This window comes from Homo sapiens, chromosome 1 (genome assembly GCF_000001405.40).
Source record: "Homo sapiens chromosome 1, GRCh38.p14 Primary Assembly".
Lineage (NCBI taxonomy): Eukaryota > Metazoa > Chordata > Mammalia > Primates > Hominidae > Homo > Homo sapiens.
In genome coordinates, this window is record NC_000001.11 from 57,409,182 (window position 1) to 57,435,260 (window position 26,079).

At 40.7% G+C, this 26,079-nt stretch overlaps 1 protein-coding gene across 11 annotated transcripts in view; it reads right to left on the reverse strand.

Annotated features, from left to right (window-relative positions):
• The window catches only part of DAB1 (DAB adaptor protein 1), a 1,551,949-nt gene that overhangs the window by 414,404 nt on the left and 1,111,466 nt on the right, over window positions 1-26,079 (reverse strand). For 3 of the 11 annotated variants that reach the window (NM_001353986.2, NM_001365792.1, NM_001365795.2), the window contains exon 1: window positions 14,749-14,879. The exons of 4 other annotated variants lie outside the window; for them this stretch is intronic. The gene's annotated coding sequence lies outside the window, so the exon portion shown is untranslated. Of the gene's footprint in view, window positions 1-13,835; window positions 13,932-14,748; window positions 14,880-15,012; window positions 15,126-15,437; window positions 15,574-26,079 lie in introns of those variants that run through there. 4 more of the 11 variants (NM_001353985.2, NM_001365794.2, NM_001353983.2 and 1 more) reach the window with 3 other exon arrangements.

Here is a 26,079-nt window from a genome sequence, read left to right on the forward strand (position 1 = left end):
TCTATCATACCACAGAGGTAGCAGATAGTGTTACTGATCTAGAGGTAGGTTGGCTTCCTCCTACTGCTAATCTCTGTCTTTCGCTTCTTTGTCACACTTTCAGTTCTTCCAACACCTTTGTAACTGCTTTCCTGTATTAAGTTCTTCCTATTAAGCTGGTATGGATCTCCTGGCTGTCACAGATACAGGGCATGTCATTAAAAGTATGAGATTGTGTCTGAAGTCATGGTAGTGTGGCTGTTATGTTTTGGGTGTGTTCAGGGTTAGCACAGAGAGACACTTTTACACCCCACACATACTGACTGACAGAGTTTCAATCTGTAGGTTAACTTTAAACCAGCATCAGGGGCTGGGCGTGGTGGCTCACGCTTGTAATCCCAGCAATTTGGGAGGCCGAGGTGGGCGGATCATGAGGTCAGGAATTCGAGACCAGCCTGGCCAACACAGTGAAACCCCATCTCTACTAAAAATACAAAAATTAGCTGGCCATGGTGGTGGGTGCCTGTAATCCCAGCTACTCGGGAGGCTGAGGCAGGAGAATCACTTGAACCCAGGAGGTAGAGGTTGCAGTGAGCTGAGATTGTGCCACTACACTCCAGCCTGGGTGACAGAGCTAGACTCCGTCTCCAAAAAGCAAACAAACAAACAAAAACTAGCATCAGATAATCCACCAGGCAAACAATCACACATGTCAAATACTTGCATAACTATGCTGTGGGATTTGACAAGGAATTAGAAAGTCCACCTCTCAACTACTCTCAAAAACTTCCTCCCCCACTGAAAAATGTATGCAAGAGAGGAAGCAAACACATTCTATTAACTGTGTAAAATCGCACTACAAACCTTTAGGCCTTTTTGTTGTTGATTTCGTGCAATTCCTTTGATTTGATAAAACTGGAGGGTAAAAAGGAAAGAAAGGAAGAATGAAAGGACAGGACAGAAAAGGATAAGAAAATAAAGAAAAAGCACAGTTTGGGAATAATAAGAAATTAAAAGCATGTCTCAATGTAGAAAACTCTTCTTTTGTTTTCATTGACTCAAAATAGTTCACTACAGGGGCACTTCCCCCTCTACTGTAAAAAAAGAAAAAAACAAAAACAGTGATGGTAGACTTTAAAAATTAAATGTAGCAAGTGTTTAAACTGACTTTCTTCAAAAAGCCAAGTATAAAGGGCATGAAAGATAGTAGCCTTCAGAAACTCTCAATCTTTAGAGGAACCTAGATCAATAGATGTGGAACAGAACAATTGAAGACATAATGAAGTATGGTGTTTAACAGAATCCGGTGCTCAAGAGGCCTAAGAAAGAGACACATACCTTGGAAAGGCAGGCAGAGGCAGGTGTCAAACTTAGATTGAGCCTATGCTGTATGACCTTTATTTTTTAAAGAAAGCAATGCTAGTCCAGTCCCCAAGTCCCCCTCCTCCCTGCCCCTCTTACTCCTAGCCGTGTTGATTTATGGCTTCTCAAACAAATCAAGACGTCCTTCTCCACTGATACATTCTGAACAGTCAAATATATACAGAATGATATCTAGCCTGACTCACATGAACCCACAGACAGCACACAGAAAATATCAGAGTGGTATCAGGTTAACCAAGTGGTTGTCTTTTCTTTTCCTTAATCTTGTTTTATATGAGACGTCCTTTTTCATATCAACCTAAACTAGTACTGTATATATTTTCATTCCAGAAAACACAACGAAACATGTGAGAGAAGGGGAAAGGAGTTACAGCATTTGCTCAGGGAAGAAGAGGAATTTGAAATTTTATCACCAGTACTGATGTCATAAGGGATGACTGTTGGAGGGAAATGAATATCTGCCCTGGATCCTAAAATAATTTGGGGAGAAAGAGTAAGAGTGAACTTACGGAAAGATTAATGGCACAAGGGATACCAGAGAGACAGAGAGAGAATTGGCAGATAGTAATCACCAAATATCTCTCTCCCATTTTTTTACAGATATATGTTACAATTTCCAGACATAATGGTGCTTCCTCACATAGTCAAAAACCCTGCCAGTATTTGACTATATTATTGACATAGTATATTTGAGGATCTTAAGTCCGTGTGATGAAATGGAAAGAGCACTGGTTTGGGTGCAGAGACCTGGGTCTCTATTCTAGCTCTGCTTAATGACCTGGACTCATCTTTCTATTTCTGTAGGCCTGTGGCTCCTCATTTGAAAGTGGGAATAACATTCACTGACCTAAGATATGCCTGAAAAGTCAAGCTAGAACTGGGCTACCAGCCAAAATTTGCCCATTGGGCAGCCAAATAACTGTGGTCTATCCGAAATGCCAGAGTAGTGTGTCAGCAGCCAGACTCTGGCCCCCAGGCCCCAGCACCTGTTATTCACACTCCACAGGGTGTCTAACCAGAAGAGAACTGTACCCTCCTTTGCAGATCCCTTCTCTCTCCATAGGAAACCCAGAGATGTCTTTCAAAAACCTCGGCCTCTTGAACAAAGTGACTAGCGGCTACCCTGGTCGATCACCCTCTCATTAGCTCCATTCCCTACTCCGCATCCCCACTGGCCCATTGGGACAAAAGATGTCCTTTTAAGCCCTCTGCACTATCAGGCTGCAAAGGAGGGCAGTGACCTGTCGAGGGTGGTGCTAAGTCACCCACAGTCCTTTCCTTAAGGCTTTTCTAGGTATCAAATGAGAGCCTGTGAAGCACCTAGTACAGACATACCTACTTTTATTGTACTTCGCCTTATTGCACTTCACAGTTATTGCATGTTTTTACAAATTGAAGGTTTGTAGCAACCCTGCATCAAACAAGTCTATCACCATCATTTTCCAACAGCAGGTGCTCACTTTGTGTCTCTGTCCTACTTTGGTAATTCTCACAATGCTTCAAGCGTTTTCATTATTATTATACTTATTATGATGATTTGTGATAAGTGAACTTTGATGAAACTACTGTAATTGCTTTCAGGCACTATGAGCCATGCCCACATAAGACAATGAACTTAATAAATAAATGCTGTATGTTTTCTAACTGCTCCACTGACTGGCAGTTCCCCCGTCTACTTTCCCCTTCCTCTGGCCTCCCAATTCACTGAGACACAGCAATATTGAAATAGGCCAATTAATAACCCCACAATGGCTTCTATGTGTTCAAGTGAAAGGAAGAGTCACAAGTCTCTCACTTTAAATCAAAAGCTAGAAATGATTAAGCTTAGTGGGGAAGGCATGTTGAAAGCTGAGAGAGGCTAAAAGCTGGGCCTCTTGTGCCAGACAGCCAAGTCGTGAATGCAAAGGAAAAGATCTCAACCCACTCTGTGCAGCTCACTGCCAGTACTTATTTCTCAGGGCAAACAAGATATAGATTAAAGGACATTAAAAGTGCAGTTCCAGTGAACACATGACTGATAAGGAAGAGAAATATCCTGATAGTGGATATGGAAAGAATTTTAGTGGTGTGGATAGATGAAACAAGACACAGTATTTCCTTAAACCAAATCCTGATTTAGAGCCCTAACTCTATTCAATTCTATGAAGGCTAAGAGAAGTGAGGAAGCTGAAGAGAAAATTTTGAAGTTAGAAGACCTTGGTTCATGAATTATAAGGAAAGAAGCCACCTCCATCACATGAAAGTGCAAGGTGAAGCAGTAAGTGCTGATATAGAAGCTACAACAAGTTATCCTGAAGATCTCACTATGATCATTGATGAAGTTGGTTATACCACATAACAAATTTTCAATGTAGACAAAACAGCCTTATATTGGAAGAAGGTGTTATCTAGGACTTTCACAGCTAGAGAGGAGAGGTCAATGCCTGATTTCAAAGCTTCAAAAGACAGACTGACTCTATCGTTAGGGGTGAATGCAGCTGGCTACTTTACTATTGTGAAAATTCTAGGGCCCTTAAGAATTATACGAAATCTACTCTGCCTGTACTCTAAAAATGGAACAATGAAGCCTGAATAACAGAACATCTGTTTACACCATGGTTTACTGAGTATTTTAAGTCCACTGTTGAGACCTACTGCTCAGAAAAAAAGATTCCTTTCAAAATATTACTGCTCCTTGACAACAGACCTGGTCACCCAAGAGTTCTAATGAAGACATACAAGGAAATTAATGTTGTTTTCACATCTGCTAACAAAACATCTACTCTGCAGCCCATGGATCAAGGAGTAATTCTGACTTTCAAGTCTTATTATTTAGGACATACATTTCATAAGGCTATAGCTGCCATAAATAGTGATTCTTCTGATAGATCTTGGTGAAATAATTTTAAAATATTCTGTAAAGAATTCATCATTCGTGGCCCAGCGCGGTGGCTCATGCCTGTAATCCCAGCACTTTGGGAGGCGGAAGCGGGTGGATCACGAGGTCAGGAGATCGAGACCATCATGGCTAACACAGTGAAACCCCATCTCTACTAAAAATACAAAAAGAAATTAGCCGGGCATGGTGGCAGGTGCCTGTACTCCCAAATACTCGAGAGGCTGAGGCAGGAGAATGGCTTGAACTCGGGAGGTAGAGCTTGCAGTGAGCTGAGATCGCGCCACTGCACTCCAGCCCAGGCGACACAGCAAGACTCTGTCTCAAAAAAAAAAAAAAAAAAAAAAAAATTCATCATTCTAGATGCCATTAAGAACATTTGTGATTCATGAAAGGAAGTCTAAATATCAACATTAATAGGAGTTTGGAAGAAGTTGATTCATGGCTGACTTGGAGGGATTCAAGACTTCAGTGGAAGAAGGAACTGCAGATGTGATACAAATAACAAGAGGACTAGAATTAGAAGTGGAGCCTGAAAATGAAACTGAATTGCTGTAGTCTCATGCTACAACTTTAGCGGATAAGGAGTTACTTCTTATGGATGAGCAAAGAAAGTGGTTTCTTGAGATGGAATCTACTTCTAGTGAAGATGCTGTGAAGATTGTTGAAATGACAGCAAAGGATTTACATAAACTTATTGATAAAGCAGTGTCAGGGTTTGAGAGGACTGACTCCAATTTTGAAAAAAGTTCTGCTGTGGGTAAAATACTGTCAAACAGCATTGCATTCTATAGAGAAATCTTTCATGAAAGGAAGAGTCAATCAATGTGACAAACTTCATTATTGTCTTATTTTAAGAAACTGACCCAGCTACTTCAATCTTCAGTAACCACCACCTTAATCAGTCAGTAGCCACCAACATTGAGGTAAAACCCTCCACCAGCAAAAAGATTATGACTTGCTGAAGGCTCAGCTGATCATTAGCATATGTGAGCAATAAAGTATTTTCAATTAAGGTATGTACATTGATTTTTTTACATAATGCTATTGCACCCTTAACAGACTACAGTATAGTGTAAACATAACTTTTATATACACTGGAAAACCAACAAATTTGTGTGACTCACTTGATTGCAATATTCTCTTTATTGCAGTGGCCTGGAATGGAACCAGCCGTATCTCCCATGGATGCCTGAATTTATTTAATAGTAAGCATTCAAAAACACCCATGATTTTCCTCCTCTCCTGACTATTTGCCATTTAGAATAAGAAATACAGGTAGCATATGATGAAAATTAATATATAGCTAGAAAATATAATTTTAAAGATAACATTTACAATGGCAATTACAAAAATATAAACCACCTAAAACTCAATCTAAAAAGAGTGCATGCCCTTTGAAGAAAATTATAAACTGTATTGAAAGACATTAAATAAGAACTAAATAAATGGAAAGAGTTACTACATTTACAGATAGAAAGACTCAGGCTCAATGTCCTAATGATGGCATTATCTTTTAATCAGTCTATAAGTTTGATAAAACTCAAATCAAATCTCAACAGTATTCTTGTGAAACCTTGAAAGATGATTATAAAATGTATACGGAAGAAAACAGCCCAAGAAAAGCCAAGACACTCTTGAGACACTTTTGCAGAAGGACACTTTTAGGGATGTGTCCTGGCCAATACCAAGATTCATTAAAAAGCTATAATAAAGTTTGGTTAGGGCAAAAGAGTGGCTAAAACATATGCTTAGAAATTGACTCTAAGTTCCAGGAAAATCATTTTTCCATATGAAAGAAAATTAGAATAAATGCCTACCTCACACAACACACACACACACACACACACACACACACACACATATATGCACACACTCCACATGGATTAGAGAACCTAAATTTGAAAGGCAAACAAAACAATAAAGCTTTTAGAAGACAACAAAGGAGAATATCTTCATGACATCAGAGTGGGAAAAAAAAGGCTTTCTGAAACAAGACATAAAAAGTGCTAACCATAAAAGATTGATAAATTCAACTACGTTAAAATTAAGAAGTTAGATAGCAGAAGGTTGGCAAAAATCCAACTTCTATGTGGTCTATAAATCTATTCAGCTTCCCAAAGGCATAAATAACCTTTTTGCATTTATTGGAACTATATTCTGACAACACATGCCATAGCTCAGATTCAGCATATGGTTGGCCCATCTTTGACTTTGTCCACAATTAGATTACTAGCACTACTGGTTTAACCTGAGTATATTTGAATGGATGTGGCTTATACCTAGAACTTTCGTGAGTAGACATATAATACTGCTCAGAATAACATGGCCTGCAATTCAAGACAAGCACCACCACATGCCATCATTATAGGTACTGCTACACCATCACCAGGGACTAGGATTGTACAGCATCTCTTCCTTACCCTCTGTGCAGCGTTTTTCTATGTTTATGATCATTCACACCACAAAGTTCATTCTTGTTCTGCTAACTGCTGGGATTTAACTGCTACTACAAAAACTACCAGGAGAAATATATATCAGTGAAAGCAAGGATAGAAAACCCTAGGGTAGATCAACTTCTAACCCCATGAGAGAAGGTAATCTACTGTCTCCCACACAGCCATGATTTTGTACCAAAAGCTTCCTCCGGTGAGCCTGTGAGTCTTCCATTTCCTTTCTCCTCTCATTCATTCTACCATGCATTCTTCACCAATATTCTGCCATTCACTCTACATGTTGACATATATACCATAATATATGAATATAGTCTGAGACAATAAGAGAAGAAAATGTCACCCACATATGACTTATGTTTAAGGTGATGTAAATTTTTTCAAGATGTCCCTTGCATATATCAAAAGAGATGCTTCTGTTGGCATGATAGTATCTAATAACAACACTCTGTTACTGATGGGAAGTTATTTCTTGGGGACCCCAAGGAATGGAACCTCATAAACTTTCAATGCATTTCATGTCAGGGTACTGAGTAATTACATAGCATTACAATTTTAAAATTTCCTCTTTGGATGAAAGCAGTTTTATTTATAATTTTTCCTATAATGGAAGTAGATAGCTCTAGTGAATCGACTGTTTTAATAGGACAGATTTGGATAAGTAGTTATTGTTAATGATTTTAAGAGATGTCAATAAAACATAGAAATGACTTTCAACAGATAATTATTATAATTCACTCCCAAATCTAGATTACAAAATAAAGAATCACAATAAAAAATGATTTTCAAGTTCACTGATCACAAAGAATTTCAATATTGTCTATGGAAAACAATTTACCCTAATCTTTTTACCCAAATTAACTTAATGAACCACAGCAGACTGAACACATTTAATTCAATTCAATTAAGCAGAAACTTATTGAGCATCTACTACATTCCAGACACCGGAGTTAAAAGGGACAGCTATATTTCCTTTCCCTAAGTAGTTCATAAATGTCCTTTATTCCAGTATAATTATTAGGCAAAATACTATTTCTTTCTTATTACCTATGTAGTGACTAGCTAGACAGTTTATAAATGTCCTTTATTTCAGGAAAATTATTGGACAAAATACCATTTCTTTTTATTATATATACAGTAATGAGCTAGAAAGTGAAGAGAATTCAGTGGAATTGTTTAGGTTTGTTCTGGAAAAATATATTCAAAAGAATTATCAAATTTAGGATAGTGACTATGTCTGCCAAGAGAAGGGGACGTATGATCAGAGAAAGGTTACCAGGAGGTTTCAACTGTATTTAACTGGCTTTATTTCATTAGCTGAGTGGTAGGTACAAAACTTTTTATTATATTGTTATTTATACTTTTTGTGTGTCTTAACCCATTTATGCCAGAGGTTGCAAATTGTTTTTTGTGAAAAATGAGACTTTGGTGATGACCTTGAGCAGTAGGATATAAATAACGCCCACAAGCTTAGCATTCCAATAAAGGAACACTAGGCATAAATGGGTTAAATATTCTGTCCTACATTTCAAATCACACACATATTATTTTCATGATAGAATGAAAACTACTCTTAAAAGGCTTAAGTGATTCTCTACATTTTTCCCAATCTATTTCATAAGACACTGAGAGATGCTACTTGAAATCAAAGGTTCTATGGCAAATGAATTTTTAAAATTCTTCATGAGTTAAATGACTTTAGTGCAGAAAATCTCTGAACCTTTAACATATCAGTAAATACCACATCTTACTAAGAACAGGATATATAATTCAATATCTTCCAAACATTTTTGAACATGGAACTTATTTTTCCCTCTGAGCCTTCTTCCTTTTGAAATATTCATAATGATCTTAGGGGACATTAGTGTTTCCTGGGACACAGTTTGGAAAATGCTCTATTAAAAAAACCCATTTTGATGCATGTTCTACATTACCTCTGTACCCAATTATGCCCATCCCTAAGTCAATAACCATCCTTCATGCTTGCATGACTTTGTCCATGAAGTCCTATCAGTCAGAACTGCCTTTAAGCCTTGAGAAACTCCTGGTCAGCCTTCAAGACCTAGGTGAAATGAAGCCTTCCCCCAGCCTTTCCTTTCTCCAGGTAGAGTAAATTACCACCTCCAGAAGGTTCCACAGCTGTATACATATTTTCCATAGCGCATCTCCTGCTGTAACAGTTATTTATGCATGAAACCAGGTCCCTAGATGGCAAACTGTGCAATTGCATCTTGGTACTCTTCACAATGCCTAGCACAGAGCCAGAGTCAAGCACAAAGTAGGTGCTCAGTAAACATTTGTTGAATGGACATAGAAGTGATGTTTATGTGCATGACCAGAATGTTCTTCCTCAATTTCCCAGATTCTCTCAATGCATATTCACAGCTTTTCAATTATTTTCAGTTGCAACACTAACATGAATAAAAACAAAGAGACATAAAGACTGAATGTGACAAAGGCAGATAGAAACGAGGAAAGACAGAGACAGAGAAAGAGCAAAGAAAGAGATACCTGAATTGATGGATACCAAGTAAACAAATCATGAGTCCATTCAAGAGATGCAGAGACTGACCAACAAAGAAAATTGTAAATCAATATGAAGCTCGGAGCAGATGCATGGGGTTGGTAATTTGCAAGACTCACTACAGGTGGTCAAGAGGGCCGATTTGGGTTCATGCTGAACTACTTACAACTATTTGGGAGGACCCATCCCCTTATTTTTATACCATAAGTTAAACAGCCCGCCTTCACCACCACAAAATTTTCGTCATTTTAGCTGTCATCTCTTCTATTCAGCAGAATTTTATTTATATTTTCCTTTCTGTTTATGAGACTCCCCCACTGGCATTGCAGATTGGTTATATGTCAGCTTCAAATAAAATAAAATAATAATAATAAAAGCAAGCTTGCAATTTCTTTCCAATAGAATATGCTACATATTTCATAAAATAGATGCCAGAGGAGTTTTATGATTCCTCAACCAAAACCTTCCCACATCTCAAAACTAAATGGAAGAAAAATAAAAAGAACATGTCAAAGAAAAAGAAATCTGAACATTTGCTCTCCAATCAGAGGGAAATATCCAGGTGATTAATTTGATTAATGAGTTGTTTTCATTTTTTTACATGAATTTATATCCTGATATGCATTTCACAGATTCAGTTCAGTGTGAGTTTTCATGGATATAAATGTACATACCAGAGGAGGGGTTTTCTTTTCCTACTGACATGCTTTTTTCAGTACAGAATGTCTAGCTGGCTCATGCTCTTAGCCTGACAACACCTCCTCTGCCAAGTTTTATTTATATTTTCAAGCCACGTCTCTATCCTGGTATAGGAGACAATCTGGTCTAGTGAAAGGAGCACTGGACAAGGAGTCCAAGAATCCTGAGTTGCGATGGCGCCTCTGGGCTGTAAAGTTACGTATCTCTGCAAGCCTAATATTCTTTCAATCTGTAAATTAGGACAGTTGACAAACACACCTCTAGAATTCAATCAAAGTCATTTTACTTTCCTCAGAATAACTGCGGAAAAGTAAAATGGCATGGAAATTTTAACATGATGTGTACTTCCACAACTCCTCTTCACAAAGAGCCAAAATGTGTAAGGAAATATTTCCAATTAAAAAAAAAAAAAAAAAACCTTTGCCTAAAATCCTAAAATGTATCTCTTCCTAAAGATAGACCAGATACTATTGGGATACATAACTCTCAGAATATCAATGATGGAAAACTTTTTCATTATCTAGGAGATGGGTTTTTATCTCATTTGAAAGATAACACTAATAGCTAAGTAACTTTACATGCTAGGTATTATTCTAAGCACTTTGTGTTAGTTCCTGTAATCTTCATAATTTTATGAGGTAAGTACTGTTATTTCATTATAAAGAAAACTATAAAGCACAGAGAAGTTAGATTAGCTGGCCAAGGCCACACAGCTTACAGAGCTGGTAGAGCTGAGATCTGAAGCCAGGCAGTCAGTCCAGAAACGAAGTCCAGACTCCTTACCACCTGCTATACCACCTTTTAGTTTGAGAATCTCTGCTTACCACAGCTAGTAACTGAGAAAAGCAGTAATGCTGTTTCTGCGTTACTAATTGCCTAAACAATTATTTACTAATTGATTACTAATTGTTACCTAATTAATAAACATTTTCACAGAGTAAATAGATGTGAACCAATACTAACCAATGCCTGATAGAAACTGCCACAGAGTCACAAGTGTTCAAAGTGCCTATCATTGCCCCACTCCCTGTTGATGATAAGGTAACACCCATTTTGTTTGCTAGCATCCAAAAATGGGGAAATATGTAGCTTGCTCCTATAGAAGTCTTACTATTTCATTATTCTCCATTAAATTTTACACCCTGGGAGCTAGCTGGGATCACTTCCTCACTCAGAGGCAGCATAACAGTGGTTAGGACAGACCCTGGAACAAGAATGGCTAGGTTTAAATCCTAGTTCCATCCCTTACTTGCTATGTAATCTCAGGCCAGTTACCAAATCTTCCTGTGCCCCAGTTTCCTTATCTAGCTAATACAAATGAGAATACAAGTATCCACATCCTAGGGTTATCTGAAGATTAAATAAGTTAATATGTGTAAAGTGCTTAGAAGCATTCCTGACTCTTAGTAGTACTCCATAAAGGTTAATTATTCTTTTTTATTAACATGAAAGGTGACTTGCCAAACATCACAAAGTCAGAAGTAGCTGGATTCAATCCTGGTCTTCCAATTCCAAATGCCATCCACTTTCTTGAACAGAATTCCATGCTGTCTATTACTAAGAGATCATTCTCTTGAAATCCTGCTATGTGCCAAAGCACCCAATCATATGATTTTCTCCATAAAATTGCTCCAAGACCCACAAGGTAGGTAATATTGTCCGTTTTGCAGATGATGAAAGCAAGGTTCTGGGAAGTTGAGATTCATCCTCAACTGCTTAACTCAACCACGAGTATTCTTTGTCTCAGTAAGTCCTAAATAACATTTAAAGTTCCGGACAATACCCTTCAATTTATGCTATTTTTAAAGTGCCATCTAAGAGACATAAACTGTGATTTTCTTGCTTTGTTTGCTTTATTAGTTTGAGAGAAGGATTAAATCCCAGCAAAAACAAAATGTTTGACTTGAGTGAATTATCAAAATGAAATGCTGCCTCCATTAGATTCTTCATCTGCCTGCAGGGTGGCTCCAAGCATCCTAAATCTACCAAATGCAATTTTTTAGATGGGTACTATCAGGTACCAAGCCAAACACTCACCCATTTAAGAAAAATTACTTTGGAGGGCAAAGGGGAATGAAGAAGAATATTCCTCTCTGGGTTGGGAGGAGAAAATGAACAATAAGTGATACAATCTCTTCCCGGCAGCCTCACACAATGGTGTGTCTTGCAAATGAAACATACTGTGAAACAGCTTGTGAGATGAGCTTCATCAACAATAAGTAATTTTTATTCAGATTTTATCGTTGAATACAATGAACATGATTAAATGTTTCAGATATGCCTATTCAGACCTCAAGCAAACCATTAAAAAATAAAAACTACTAAAAATCATCTTCTAAATCTGCTTTAGGAAGAGATTTAATTGCCAACTCGATGTGTAGAATTGAATTCCTACTTGATAGCAGCACCGTTCCCAAGAAGATGGTCACAACATATTTGCACTTCCCACTTCGGCCTCTTTTCTCATCCCTGCGGATCCTCCCAGCGTTGCCAAATAGTTACAAAGTCAGTCCTTTCAAACCACTGCATTTTGAACTTCCTAAACCTTTAAGAGAGCCTTTGTGTATGGAAAAGAACAATAGCGCTTCAAAAGACATTTCTGCGAGTTCTTCAATATTCCATTTGAATGCTGGGGTTTCAATCAAGGACATCAGCAGACAATTTCTGATTGCTTAGAAGTTGACTTTTATACAGCTTTGATTAGGTGCCCTTCTCAATAGGAAATCAAGAAAATCTTTGATCACTTTCAGTTCCCAGAATTGTCACCAAGCCTTGTCAGGATAGGGAGTGAAAGAGATGGGGGGTGGCGGGGGGGGGGGTGGCGGGGGGGGGTGCCTACTCCTTCTGACATCTCCGAACCCCCATCTATCTTAGTGCCTGCGCAGTTCCGGTGCCATCCAGAATCACTCATCACGGAGATCACAAAAACAATGGGTGCTAATTCAAGGGGTGGGGATGGTTTGTAATTTTATGGATTTCCCAAAGACCTATAATTGGCACATAAATGTACCAACGTGAACTGGATAATTAGGCGGTTCTGAACGTAAGCCACCTTTAATTTAATTGATATGATTACTTGAAAACGTTAAGTGTTGTAAAGTGTAGTGGAACCCCCACACAGCCTTTATTCAAAACTATCAACACTGTTAAAGTGTATTTAACCGGCCAGCAGGAAGGGAGCAGGAAGGAGGAAGAAACGACGGCGCGGATTCTCGCCCCGGTCCCCGCCGGCTGGCTAGGAGCTGCACTGGAGCATCCAGCTCGCAGGAGGGCTCGCCCCCGGGCTCGCCCCCGTCCAGCTCCCAGGCGGAGAAAGGCGCTCTCGCTACCGCAAGCCCTACATCGCCCCTCTTTCTAATGGAGCTAAACACAGGCGTGCGCCGACATCCAAACGCACACGCAGACACCGACCCACGCGGGCGCGCACCCCAGACTCGGCGACACATACACACCGGAGCGCACAGATGCCCGCGTCGCGGCGCTCTCCACTCCGCCCGCCGCCAAGAGCGGAGCGGTAGCCAAGCGCCCCCGGCCTCCCCACCCCCACGCCATTCCTTCAGACTCTCCCAGCCTAAGCGGAAGTGCCCCAGCAGACCCCCAACAATGAGGATTTGTGCGATGCAGTTGGGGGTTGGGGGTAGTTCACACGGAGTGAAACGTACACAGTCTGGCGGGTCTGGGAGCAGCCAAGTGGCGTCCGCCTCTCCAGGCAGCGATCCCTTGTGCCCACTGCCCCCCATCAGGCCCACCAGCACCACCAAAAAACAAAAACAGAGAAAAGAAAAAGCGCCTTAAAAAGTGCAGAGAAAAGATGCGCCCTCCCACCAGGGGTCACAATAATACTCCTCGGGACGCAGCCAGCGGAGGCAGGGTCCTGGCTGCAGCAGCCACCCTGGTTTTGAAATTTACTTTGTACACTCACCCAGTGGCCCCTTTCAGACGCCGCGACACGACCTCCCCCCATCTCGGACTCCCTGCCTCTGGGTTCTCTCGGCGGTTGACACCCTCTTGTGTGCCTGCTTTATGAGCCGAACCACAGAGATTTAAAGTTTCCTTGGTAGAAAAAAAAACTGAGCTCTCTGCATCCAAGTCAGAGCGTCGAGTCTGGAGCAGAGAGAAGGAAGAGGGGCGGGCTGGGGAGGCGACTAGCTGGGCGTGGGGGGAGGGGGTGCTGGGGAGTGGATGGAGGGGGACGAGCGGCAGAGAACAGAGTCCACAGAGGATCCGAAGAAAGGCCGGGGTCCGAGGAACGCGGGATCCAGTTCTCACGGTGCCCGCGAAAGGGCTGGGATTACTGGGATAGAGTCGGTTTTTCGAGAGGTCGAAGCCGAATCTCAGCGCTACGGAGGAGTAGGGAAGTGAGAACGGGGTTCGGCCGAATGAGGAAAAGGGTCTGGCCACCAGCGAGGGAGGGAGGGAGTTTCGGGAGCCCAGGACAGCGGGAGAAGGCAGGCTCGAGGTCCGATATAGCCAGGACCGCAGGAGGAAAGAGGGCGCAGGGGGTCTTGGAGAGAGACGCGTGTCAGGGGTGGACAAGTCTGGAGACAGGATCGCGCGTGGTCGGAAGTAGGGAGACAGGGGCGCGGGGATGGGGGGCAGGACAGAGAAAGAGAAGTCGCCCTTTTCCTCCCAGCAAGTGGAGGGAGAAGGCGAAAAACTGCTGCAGTCGCCATCCTCCCAGCACCCCTAGCCAAACTGCTGAGTGGCGCGTCCCAGGAGCCCTCCTCCGCGCCCCGGGGCTCCAGCGAAGCCTCCTGGCTCCCCGGCGCCCTGTCCTCGCGGGGCACCTGCGGCGCTGAACTCAAGGGTTGCCGCGCGCCCCCGCCGCGCCTCACCTCGCCTAGCCCAGAGCATCCTCCTCCGCTGCCGCAGCCGCCCAGGAAGCGGCTCCCCATGCCCGGCGGGCGGCGGCACTCAGGCGCGCTCTGCAGCCCGGGGAAGCCCGGGCGAGCGCCGAGCTGGGTCCATCCTCCCCGGGAGCCACCGGCCCCGCGTCAGAGTAGGGGGAGGAGACCGCCACCCGCGCGGACCCGCCTCCTCCCGCGGCCCCCCGCCCCGCCGCCCCCCGCGCCCGCCCGGCGCCCCGCGGCACCGCTCACCTGCTAGCTCCCCGGCCGCCGCCGCCGGGCCGTGAGCCCCTCGCCCCGGCCTCGCGGCTCCCTCCGGGGCGCTCTCTGCGCAGCCGGAGCGCGCTCCGAGAGCTTAGCCGAGTGGCGGTGGCGACGAGGAGGTGGAAGAACGAGCGAGCGAGCGAGCGAGCGAGCGGGGGCGCCGCGGCTTGCAGTCGCGCCTCTGGAGCCCCTGCACTCTCTCTCCATCCCAGCGTGGAAGGGGGAGAGACGAGCCGAGAGCGAGGGGTCCCCGCCCCAGCCGCGCCAGCGTGGAGAGGGTAAGGGAGGGGGGTTGTCACAAAGTATCCAGTGTTTTCTCCCCCATCACCACCACTGGACGCAGCTCCGCCTGGCCTCTCTCATTTTTCTCTAAGATCTACCCTTTTATCCAAGCCTCGAAAACATATGCATACCCAAATATATGGAGTGCCAGGAAGGGCGAAACCACGAGGGGAGTCTCCGCGAGGGCATGTTGCCCCCACGCCCCTTGGCAGGAGGGGGCGCTCGCTCCCAGCCGCCAGTGCAGGTTCGGCGGCTCCTGTTTTGACTGAGGTTTCCCAGGCAAAGTTCGGCAAGTTGGGAGGGAGAAGGCTGGCACGTGTCAAGTTTCCGTCAGTCCTCAGGAGAGACCCGTGCCCCTGAGAGCACGCAGACCACGGTTAACTCCGGCTTACTCCCCGCGACTCCCCTACTCGGCTCTTAGAATGACTGGGAGTAAACAATCCTCCGATTCGAAGCTGTGCGGGAGGCGGCTCCAGCGAGTACACAGTCAGTTGCTCCTTGCTTAGGGTCCTAGCTCACAAAGATCCTAGAAACACCAAGTCGCAGAAAATATTGGGTCATTCTGAAAATTCTTCCACCTTGAGACTAGATTCAACTCCAGAAAATTCCTGTTGTGTGGCATACCTGTCTCCAGAGGCCTGAAATGCAGGAGAAGAGAGGAGCCTGGTGAATCAAATCAAGTGCATAATATGTAGATTCGCACAGCACACAAACCACCCTGTTGGACCCAGGTGCAGAAAAGGAAAGCAAGAGGCAGGCAACCCTTCCTTAAAAAGTTTACCGTTACTCTTTTTGGGGCTACACTCCTGTCTTCCAGCTGTATAATAACAAAGATAATGTGATGGATTTGTGCTTTTCTGTTTTGGGGTGTTTTTTTTTCTCGTAGCTTCTGACACTCACCCATGAAAATTTAATGAAGCATTTAGGGTTGTTACCTCCAGAGTCAATGGGCTAAAAATATTTAGCCTAATGCACTCCTTGTGGAGCCAGTAGGTCCAGGGCTGGTACATACAAAGTCATCAAGAGACCCTCCCTTTCTCCACAAAATTCACGACCCATTAAACTTATTCCATAATAACAGCTTCCGTACAAATGGAGACCTGAGCAAACGGAGGCTGTCATGCATCACCTGAAAAGATAGCAATTTACATAGAGACAAGAACAATTTGTAAGGTCATAGCAGGATGCAATCTTGCAAGAAGAGTTGATCAGATGAAATTTCCAAAAAGGTGGGAGGGAGGTCCTATCCCTGATACTACTCGGTTTCTACCTACTTCCAGGTGTGACAGATAATCTACGAGTGGGGAGCAGAGAAACTAGCCTAAGTCTCTACAAGTTTTCCAAAGTTCTAGAAAGTGGGGACAATTGACACCAGATATGCTTCTACACTGTGTAGGAAGTTCAGGCTTACCAGGCAACTCAATTAAGATTAACTTCAGTTTCTTCATCTATGAAGACACATCTCAAGAGTCTAAACTCAATACTGAGGAAAGAGGGACAAATCTGAGAAGACATGGTCGAAACAGGGGAAGGGAGGGTAAAAAACTGTTATGATGGAGGCACAGGTCTAAATTCTCATTGACTGCCAAAAACATTGAAGTTTCTCAATGCTTTGAGGATAGGCTTAGAACATGAAGACCATCTACATGCATCTTAAGGCCCTACTTATAAAACCTGCCGCCTTCACCCACCTTTCACTTCGTTCGGCTTTCTATTGACATTATGATTACAGACTTTGAAGAGAATTAATGACACTGACTTGGCCAAGTAATGGAAATACAAGACTCTATCTCTGCTCTGTGTTGAATCAAGTCCACCACGGAAACTGGGCAAATTTCCCTGAAATTCAACAGGGGTAACAAGCAAAGCTTTTCTCAAATCCGGGCATAACATGTAGATACCCACCAATGATCTTTCAAGTTAAACTAAACCAAATCTTAAAGGAACATTTTAAGTTGTTGTACTAAACATGTCATGAAATAAGTCACCTAATAATTAGGGGTTTTTTTCTTTTGTTCCTTTTAAAATAACAATGTCATTTGTATTAAGTGTGGCATAAGAAAAAAATCTCAGTGAACGTTTCTTTATCATCTACCCCGAGAAACAGTAAAATAAGAACAGCAAAGATGTATATATTGTTTATTATGTTTCAGACACAGTTCTGATGCTTTCCATATATTAACTCATTTGACCTTCACAGCAGCCCATTGGGGAAGGCACTCTTATTGTACTGGATAGAGTATAGAGTTTGGAATTTAATGAGCTTCATTCATCTTTAACAAGTTACTTCTGTCTACGTCAAAATTCTCAACCCTACAATGGTGGTGGATAACACTTGCTTCTTGAGATCGCAGTGAGCCTTAAATGAGATAATATATATATATATATTTTTTTGAGACAGCGTCTGGCTCTGTCGCCCAGGCTGGAGTGCAGTGGCGCGATCTCGGCTCACTGCAAGCTCCGCCTCCTGGGTTCACGCCATTCTCCTGCCTCAGCCTCTCAAGTAGCTGGGACTACAGGAGCCCGCCACCGCTCCCGGCTAATTTTTTGTATTTTTAGTAGAGACGGGGTTTCACTGTGTTAGCCAGGATGGTCTCGATCTCCTGACCTCATGATCCACCCGCCTCGGCCTCCCAAAGTGCTGGGATTACAGGCGTGAGCCACCACGCCCGGCCTAATATATTGGACATGCCTGGCACTGAATAAATCAGTCACCTGGTAAACATTGATTCTCTTCCCAGAATAATTCTAAAATAGTTCATTTAAATTTGACAGGCATTTATGGAGTCCATTCTGTATATCAGGCACTGTGGTAGGCATTGGGAATAATGGTGATAAATCAGAAACATATTCTACCTTTGAGGATCTTGGAGTCAACCTAATAAAAGACACAGGCATGAGCAGCCTGCACATGAGCAAAATGGAGTTTTATTGAACTTTACATAATTTATAACTATGCACATGATTTTCAAGATACTCAAAGGAGCAGCCTATGTAAGTGCTGGTTGACCTATCATGGAAATCAAAATCAAATGTCAGAAATCGTAAGTCCTACTAGCTATTACTACTCCTCCAAAGAAAGGGAAGCAAAGAAGCCCATTTTGTGTATTATATTTTATTTAATTCTGTTTATTCCTACAATTGTTTCAATTAGCCAGAGAGTAATAAAATTTTATGCTGTAAACTATGGGCATTTTACTTTTTCTGTAGCTTTATTGAAGTATAATTGACAAATAATGCCTCAATATTGTATATATTTAAGATGTACAAGATGATGTTTTGATATACATATACATTGTAAAATAATTAGAACAATTAAGCTAATTAGCATATCCATACCTTCACATAGTTACTAATTTTGTGCATGTGATAAGAACAGTTAAGATCTACGCTCTTAGGGCAGGGCATGGTGGCTCACACCTGTAATCTCAGCACTTTGGGAGGCCGGGACAGGTGGAACACCTGAGGTCAGGAGTTTGAGACCAGCCTGACCAACATGGTGAAACCCCGTCTCTACTAAAAATGCAAAACTTAGCCGGGCGTGGTGGCTCATGCCTGTAATCCCAGCTACTCAGGAGGCTAAGGCAGGAGAATCACCTGAACCCAGGAGGCGGAGGGTGCAGTGAGCTGAGATCGCACCATTGTACTCCAGCCTGGGCAACAAGAGTGAAACTCCATCTCAGAAAAAAAAAAGATCTACTCTCTTAGAAAATTTCAAGTACATAGTGCATAATTATTAACAATAGTCACCATGCTATACATTAGATCTCCAGAACTTATTTATCATATAACTGAAGGTTTTTACCCTTTAACCAAAATCCCCCCATTTTCCCCACTGTCTAGCCCTGGACAAACATGATTCTATTCTCAGGTTTTGATGAGTTTGATTGATTTAGATTCCACATACAAATGAGAACATGCAGTATTTGTCTTTTTATGTCTGGCTTATTTCACTTAACAAAATGTCCCCTAGGTTCATTCATGATGTCGCCAATGGTAGGATTTCCTTCTATTTTAAGACTGAATAATATTCCATTGTAGACATATATACCACATTTTCTTTATCCATGCATCTGTTGACAGTCATTAGGGCGGTTCCGTATCTTGGCTATTGTGAACAATTCTGGAATGAACATGGTAGTGCAGATATCTCCTTGAGATACTAATTTTAATTCCTTCAGATATATACCCAGAAGTGGGATTGCTGGAACATATGGTAGTTCTATTTTTAGTTTTTGAAGAACTTTCATATTCTGTTCCATAATGGCTATACCAATTTACAGTCCCACCAACAGCGTACAAAGGTTCCCTTATCTCTTCATTTGCACCAACACTTCTTACATTTGTCTTTTACAAAAAAAAAAAAAAAAAAACAGCAACCAAAAAAACTGTTTGTTTGTTTTGATTTTTTTTGTTGTTGTTGTTGTTTGCTTTTTTTTTTTTGAGACAGGGTCTCACTCTGTCACCCATTCTGGAGTGTAGTGGTACCATCATTGCTTAGTTCAGCCTCAAAGTCCTGGATTCAAGGGACTCTTCTGCTTCAGCCTCCCAAGTATCTTGGGACTACAGGCAAGTGCCACCATGCCAGGCTAATTTTCAAGAATTTTTGTAAGGACAAGGTCTCCCTATGTTTTTCACGCTGATTTTCAACTTTTGGCTTCATGCGATCCTCCTGCCTCACCTTCCAAAGTGCTAGGAGTGTGAGGTGATCTCTCGTTATGGTTTTCATTGCATTTCCTTGATGATTCGTGATATTAAGCAACTTTTTACATGCCTGCTGGCCATTTATATGCCTTCTTTAACAAAAAAAAGTCCATTCAGGTCCTTTGCCCGTTTTAAAAATAAGGTTGTTTGTTGTCTACTATTGAGTTGTAATGAATTCCTTACATATTTTGAGTATTAACCCCTTATCAGATACATGGCTTGCAAATATTTTCTCCCATTCTGTAGGTTGCCTTTTCATTTTTTTGATGGTTTCCTTTGCTATGAAAAAGTTTTGAGTTTGATGTAGCCCCACCTGTCTACTTTCACTTTTGTTGCCTATGCTTTTGGTGCCATATCCAAAAAATCATTGTGAAGACCAATGCCAAGGAGCTTTTCCTCTGTGTTTTCTTTTAGGATTTTTATTATTGCAAGTCTTCCATCTGTCGTTAATCCATTTTGAGTTGATTTTCATATATGGCATAATATAAGGATTCAATTTCATTCTTTTGCTTGTGGACATGCAGTTTTCCCAACACCATTTATTGAAAAGACTATCCTTTCCCCTTTATGTATGCTTGGTGACTTTACCAAAGATTAGTTGATGGTATATGGGTGAATTTATTCCTAGGCCCTCTATTCTGTTTCATTGGTCTATGTGTCAGTTTTCATTCCAGTATCATACTATTTTGATTACTATTGCTTTATAATATACTTTGAAATCAGGTAGTATGATGCCTCTGGGTTGTAATTATCTTATAAGACTGCTTTATATATTCAAAGTCTTTTGTGGTTCCATATACATTCTAGGATTTTTTTTCTATTTCTGTGAAAAACGTAATTAGCATTTTATAGGGATTATATTGAATCTATCAATTGCTTTGGATAGTATGGATACTTTAGCAACATTAATTATTCTACTCCATGAGCATGGGATCGCTTTCTATTCATTTGTATCTTCTTTAATTTCTTTCATCAACATTTCAGTTTTCAACGTGCAGATCTTTCACATCGATAGTTAAATTTACTCCTAAATATGTTACCCTTTGTGATGATATTGTAAGTGGAATGAAGTTTTTCAAACACAAATTATTACACAGCCCACAATTCATTAAATAGTTTGTAGTACTTGCACATGCCAGGCATTTAGGAATGTTTCTATGTACATAAAGCTCTCAAGTTAATACAATTTTTTTTTTTTTTTTGAGACGGAGTCTTGCTCTGTCGCCCAGGCTGGAGTGCAGTGGCGCCATCTCGGCTCACTGCAAGCTCCGCCTCCCGGGTTCACGCCATTCTCCTGCCTCAGCCTCCCGAGTAGGTGGGACCACAGGCGCCCGCCACCATGCCTGGCTAATTTTTTTTGTATTTTTAGCAGAGACGGGGTTTCACCGTGTTAGCCAGGATGGTCTCGATCTCCTGACCTCGTGATCCGCCCGCCTAGGCCTCCCAAAGTGCTGGGTACAGTTAATACAATTTTTAATAAAGTACAATAGGAACACTCCTACCAAGCTTAATAGAGATGTAATATGCTCAAAGTATACGAACACAGAATGTGCACAATTTCAAAGGTTTATAATCCTCTCACTCTCCCTTTTATTAAAGTTCATGCTTATAATCAAATTCTATATTTTAATAAGAAAGGTCTATCCTTTATTTTAAAAATATGTTTACTGATTGTTTACTCTATACCAGGCACAATGTTAGGCATTGGCAGAGAAAGAAAAAAAAAAAAAACTTGTCCTGAAACAACTCATAGCCAAGTGAAGGAAACGCATAATCATGTTACACTGAGATGAACGCTATGACAATGCCAAGTACAGGACGCTAAGGGAGCATCAAATGGGGCATTTAACCCAAGGTAGCATGTGAAGAGGACTTCATGAAGGAAGTGACATCATCCTGAAAGATAATTGGATAACCAGGTGAAGCAAGAAAAAGTATTTCAGGCCAAAAACAAAAAAAAAAAAAAGAAAAACAAAAAAAAAGAAGACAGAATGTAAAAAGGCAAAAAAGAGATTCCCCTCTGAGGGTGGCTGTAGTTGACTCTAGAGAAGCATGCATGAACAAATTACAAAATGTCTTATCTGCCACAATCAGAATTTTGAAATTTAGAGTGAAAACAAAAGGATCCACTTAAAAACACACACACACACAACAGAAAACAAATATTTTGCAAATCTTGTTTTAACTACATTTCAGATACTTCTCTTGTATGCCTTGGACATAAGTAAAATGTCCAATTGCTGTTTCTCTTCTGAGGTCAAAAAAAGCAATGAAAAAATATTTCTATGCAGCTTCATCACAACAGAACATCTCTTCTTTCATGATACCGGCCTTGCTTGATTCCAGCGAAAGGTTGTGTGGCAGCATTACTAAACTTGACTCTGGTTTACAATAGCTATAAATAGCACTCCTTTCATTTTTCCAAGGAGCGGGTAGCGGACAGCAGCAACACTGGCAATTGTATTTATGCCACCAATCTGCTCTCTTTAGCTAAATGCACAGTAGAAACAAAAGTGGAGAGCTAAAGTGATTGTCAAAGGACTCTTACGTTTCAATACAAACCTCCAATTTTTTTCACTCATAAAGTGGAGCTTAAGGTGATATTAGTGCCTGAAAATAGGAGTAGACTAAAAGCTATAAAAAATGGCTGGGCCGGGCACAGTGGCTCATGCCTATAATCCCAGCACTTTGGGAGGCCGAGGCCGGCAGATCACGAGGTCAGGAGTTCAAGAGCAGCCTGACCAATATGGTGAAACCCCGTCTCTACTAAAAATACAAAAATTAGCTGAGTGTGATGGTGTGTGCCTGTAATCCCAGCTACTCAGGATGCTGAGGCAGGAGAATTGCTTTAACCCAGGAGGCGGAGGTTGCAGTGAGCTGAGATTACACCACCGCACTCCATCCTGGGCAACAAAGCAAGACTCTGAAAAAAAAAAAAAAAGAATGAATTTCCAATGCTTACAGAGTATCGAAAAAGAGAAGAATCAGCATAGCATATGATATAGCTGCCACATATTTTGTAGCCTCTATGTTAAAGGTTAAAAGCATGACAGATATGTGTTGTCTGCCTCTCTGGGGCCATTCCTCCTTCTTCTAAAACAACAGCTAGATTTCATTGGGAAACCAGTCCTCTACCTGGTAATTTTTTTTTTTCTATTTAATTTTGGTAGACCTAAACCAGCTCCAGAGTTGGACAGGTGACTCAGTGCAACACACTTCTTAACTAGAATTTAGAGATGGTTAGATGGGTAAACTGTGTATCAAAAGATGGACCAACTGGAAAAAAAATGCTTTCCCTTTGTTACTAGACTAGAAATTGGAAAGTTGTTAAGCCTACAGCTACAGAAACCCATTCCATGAAAAAAGTTTTTTGAAAATTAAGGTAACAAGAAGAGGACTAAGAGGTGGGGAAATTGAGATTTATGAGGACATTGTTAAAGGATTTTGGTTTAGCCATGCCAGAAGCCAACTTCCATTGTTCCCCAGATTTTTCTGTTATATGAGCCAATATGTCCCCTCTATTATTTAAGGTAATTCAAGTTGTTGGATTTCTTTTTCACTTTCAACCAAAATTTCTGTCTAATATACCAGATATGCACTTCCTATATATCATTCAATGTAATATGTAAAGCACTCTAGAAAGATATTTATATTTATACTTGCCTTTGTTCTAAGAAAAACATGAAATTTCATTTTACAAGTTAGAAATAAATTCAGAGAGGTTAAATTATTTACCAAAATTACACAGCTGATCAGATAGTTGAAAAATGAAAACTTAAAATATCATTTATAATAACACAGAAATACATTGAACAAAAGTTGTGCAAGCTTTCTGCACCAAAATTTACAAAACTTTGATGAAAACAACTAAAGAAGATCCAAATAAATGGAGAGACATACAATGTTCATGGTTTGAAAAACATTATTGATTAGATGTCACTTCTCCCAAACTGAAGTATACATTCAGCACAATCCCAATAAAATTCCTAGCACACTTTTTGAAAAAACTGACAAGTAAATTAAAAAATATACATGAGAATGCAAAGGGACTTGGAATAGCCAAAACAATCCTGGGAAAGAAGAACAAAGTTAGAAGGTTTATCCTACCTGATTTCAAGACTTACTAGAAAGCTCTAGTAATCAAAACCTTATGGTAATTGGCAAATGAGACAAAATAGAGAATACAGAAATAGATCAATGCAGTCACTTGATTTTTTTTTGAAAAGTGACAATGCAGTTCATTGAGGAAAGTCTTTAAAATATGGTACTGAAACAACTGCATAAACATATGGGAAAAAATCAGCATGAAGTTCTTCCTCATATGTATATAGAACAAAATATAAAAGCTAAAATGGTAAAAGTTCTGGAAGAGAACCTTGGAAAGTGTCTTCATGATTTAGAGGTATGCACAGGTTTCTTAGAGAGGAGACAAAAATCACTGAACATGAGAAAATGCTGAATTGAACTTTATCACAGTTTAGAATATTTGATGATCAAAGAAAACATTAAGAAAGTTAATGGTAAACCACAAACTTGGGGAAAATATTCACAACACATATATCTGACAAAGGACTTGAATCCAAAAAAATAAAGAAATTCTTCAAATTAATAGTGAAAAGACAATCTAATTAGAATGAACGGAAGACTTTGACAGCTCACCAAAAAAAAAAAAACAAAAAAACTATAAGTAGGTACATGAAGAGATGCTCAATATCACTGATCCAGAGGAATATGCAAAGAAAACTGTAATAAGACACCACTTCACACTCACTAAGATGGCTAAAATTTAAGCATTTGAAACATTAAATAATTAATGAGGATGTGGAGCTTTTTATACAATGCTAGTACAAGTATAAAATGGTATCACCTTTTGGAAAATTACCTGGCACTTTCTTATAAAGTTAAACATCCACCTACTCAGGAGTACTTGTAGGTATTCCACTTTTAGGTATTTACCCAAGAGAAATAAAACATATATACACACATATACTTGAAAATGTATATCCATTTTATTCATAATAGGTCAAAACTGGAAACAATCCAAATGTCTACACACAGCACAATGGATACAAAAATTGTACAATATTAATACAGTGGAATATTATTAAGCAAGAAATAAAATACACTACTGACATATGCAGCAATATGGACAAATCTTCAAAACATTTTGAGTGAAAAAAGACAAGTCAGACCCCAAAGAGGGTATTATTGTGATTCCATCCACATGAGGATCAAGAACAGGCAAAATAAATCTACAAGTGAAAGTTGGAATATTAGTTGCCTCAGTGGAGATAGGTTACCTGGAAAGGGGTAGAAGGAACTTTCTGGGATAATGGAATAAACATATCTTTAATGTAGTGTTGGTTATACAAGCAAATACAGTTTTGTACCGTTTAACGACAGGGATATGCTCTGAGAAATGCGTCATTAGGCAGCTTTGTCATTGTGTGAACATCACAGAGTATACATACACAAACCCAGATGGTATATAGCCTACTACACACCTAGGCTATATGGTATAGCTTATTGATTCTAGGCTACAAACCTGTATGCACGTTACTGTATTGAATACTGTAGGCAATTATAATACAATGGTATTTATGTATCTAAACATACAAAATGTACAGTAAAAATACAATATAAAAGATAAAATATGCTCTACCTATATAGAGCACTTACTATGAATGGAGATTTTAGGACTGGAAATTGCTTGGATGAGTCAGTGAGTAAGTGGCGAGTGAATGTGAAGGCCTACGACATTACTGTGCACTACTGTAGACTTTATAAACATTTTATATGCAGGCTACATTAAATTCATTTTTTAAGCTTGACTCTCTTTTTCTTTTCTTTTTTTCTTTTTTTTTTTTTTTTTTTTGAGAGAGAGTCTCGCTCTGTCACCCAGGCTGGAGCGTAGTGGCATGATCTCGGCTCACTGCAGCCTCTGTCTCCCAGGTTCAAGTGATTCTCCTGTCTCAGCCTCCCAAGTAGCTGGGACTACAGGCACTTGCCACCACGCCCGGTTAATTTTTGTATTTTTAGTAGAGATGGGGTTTTGCAACATTGGACAGG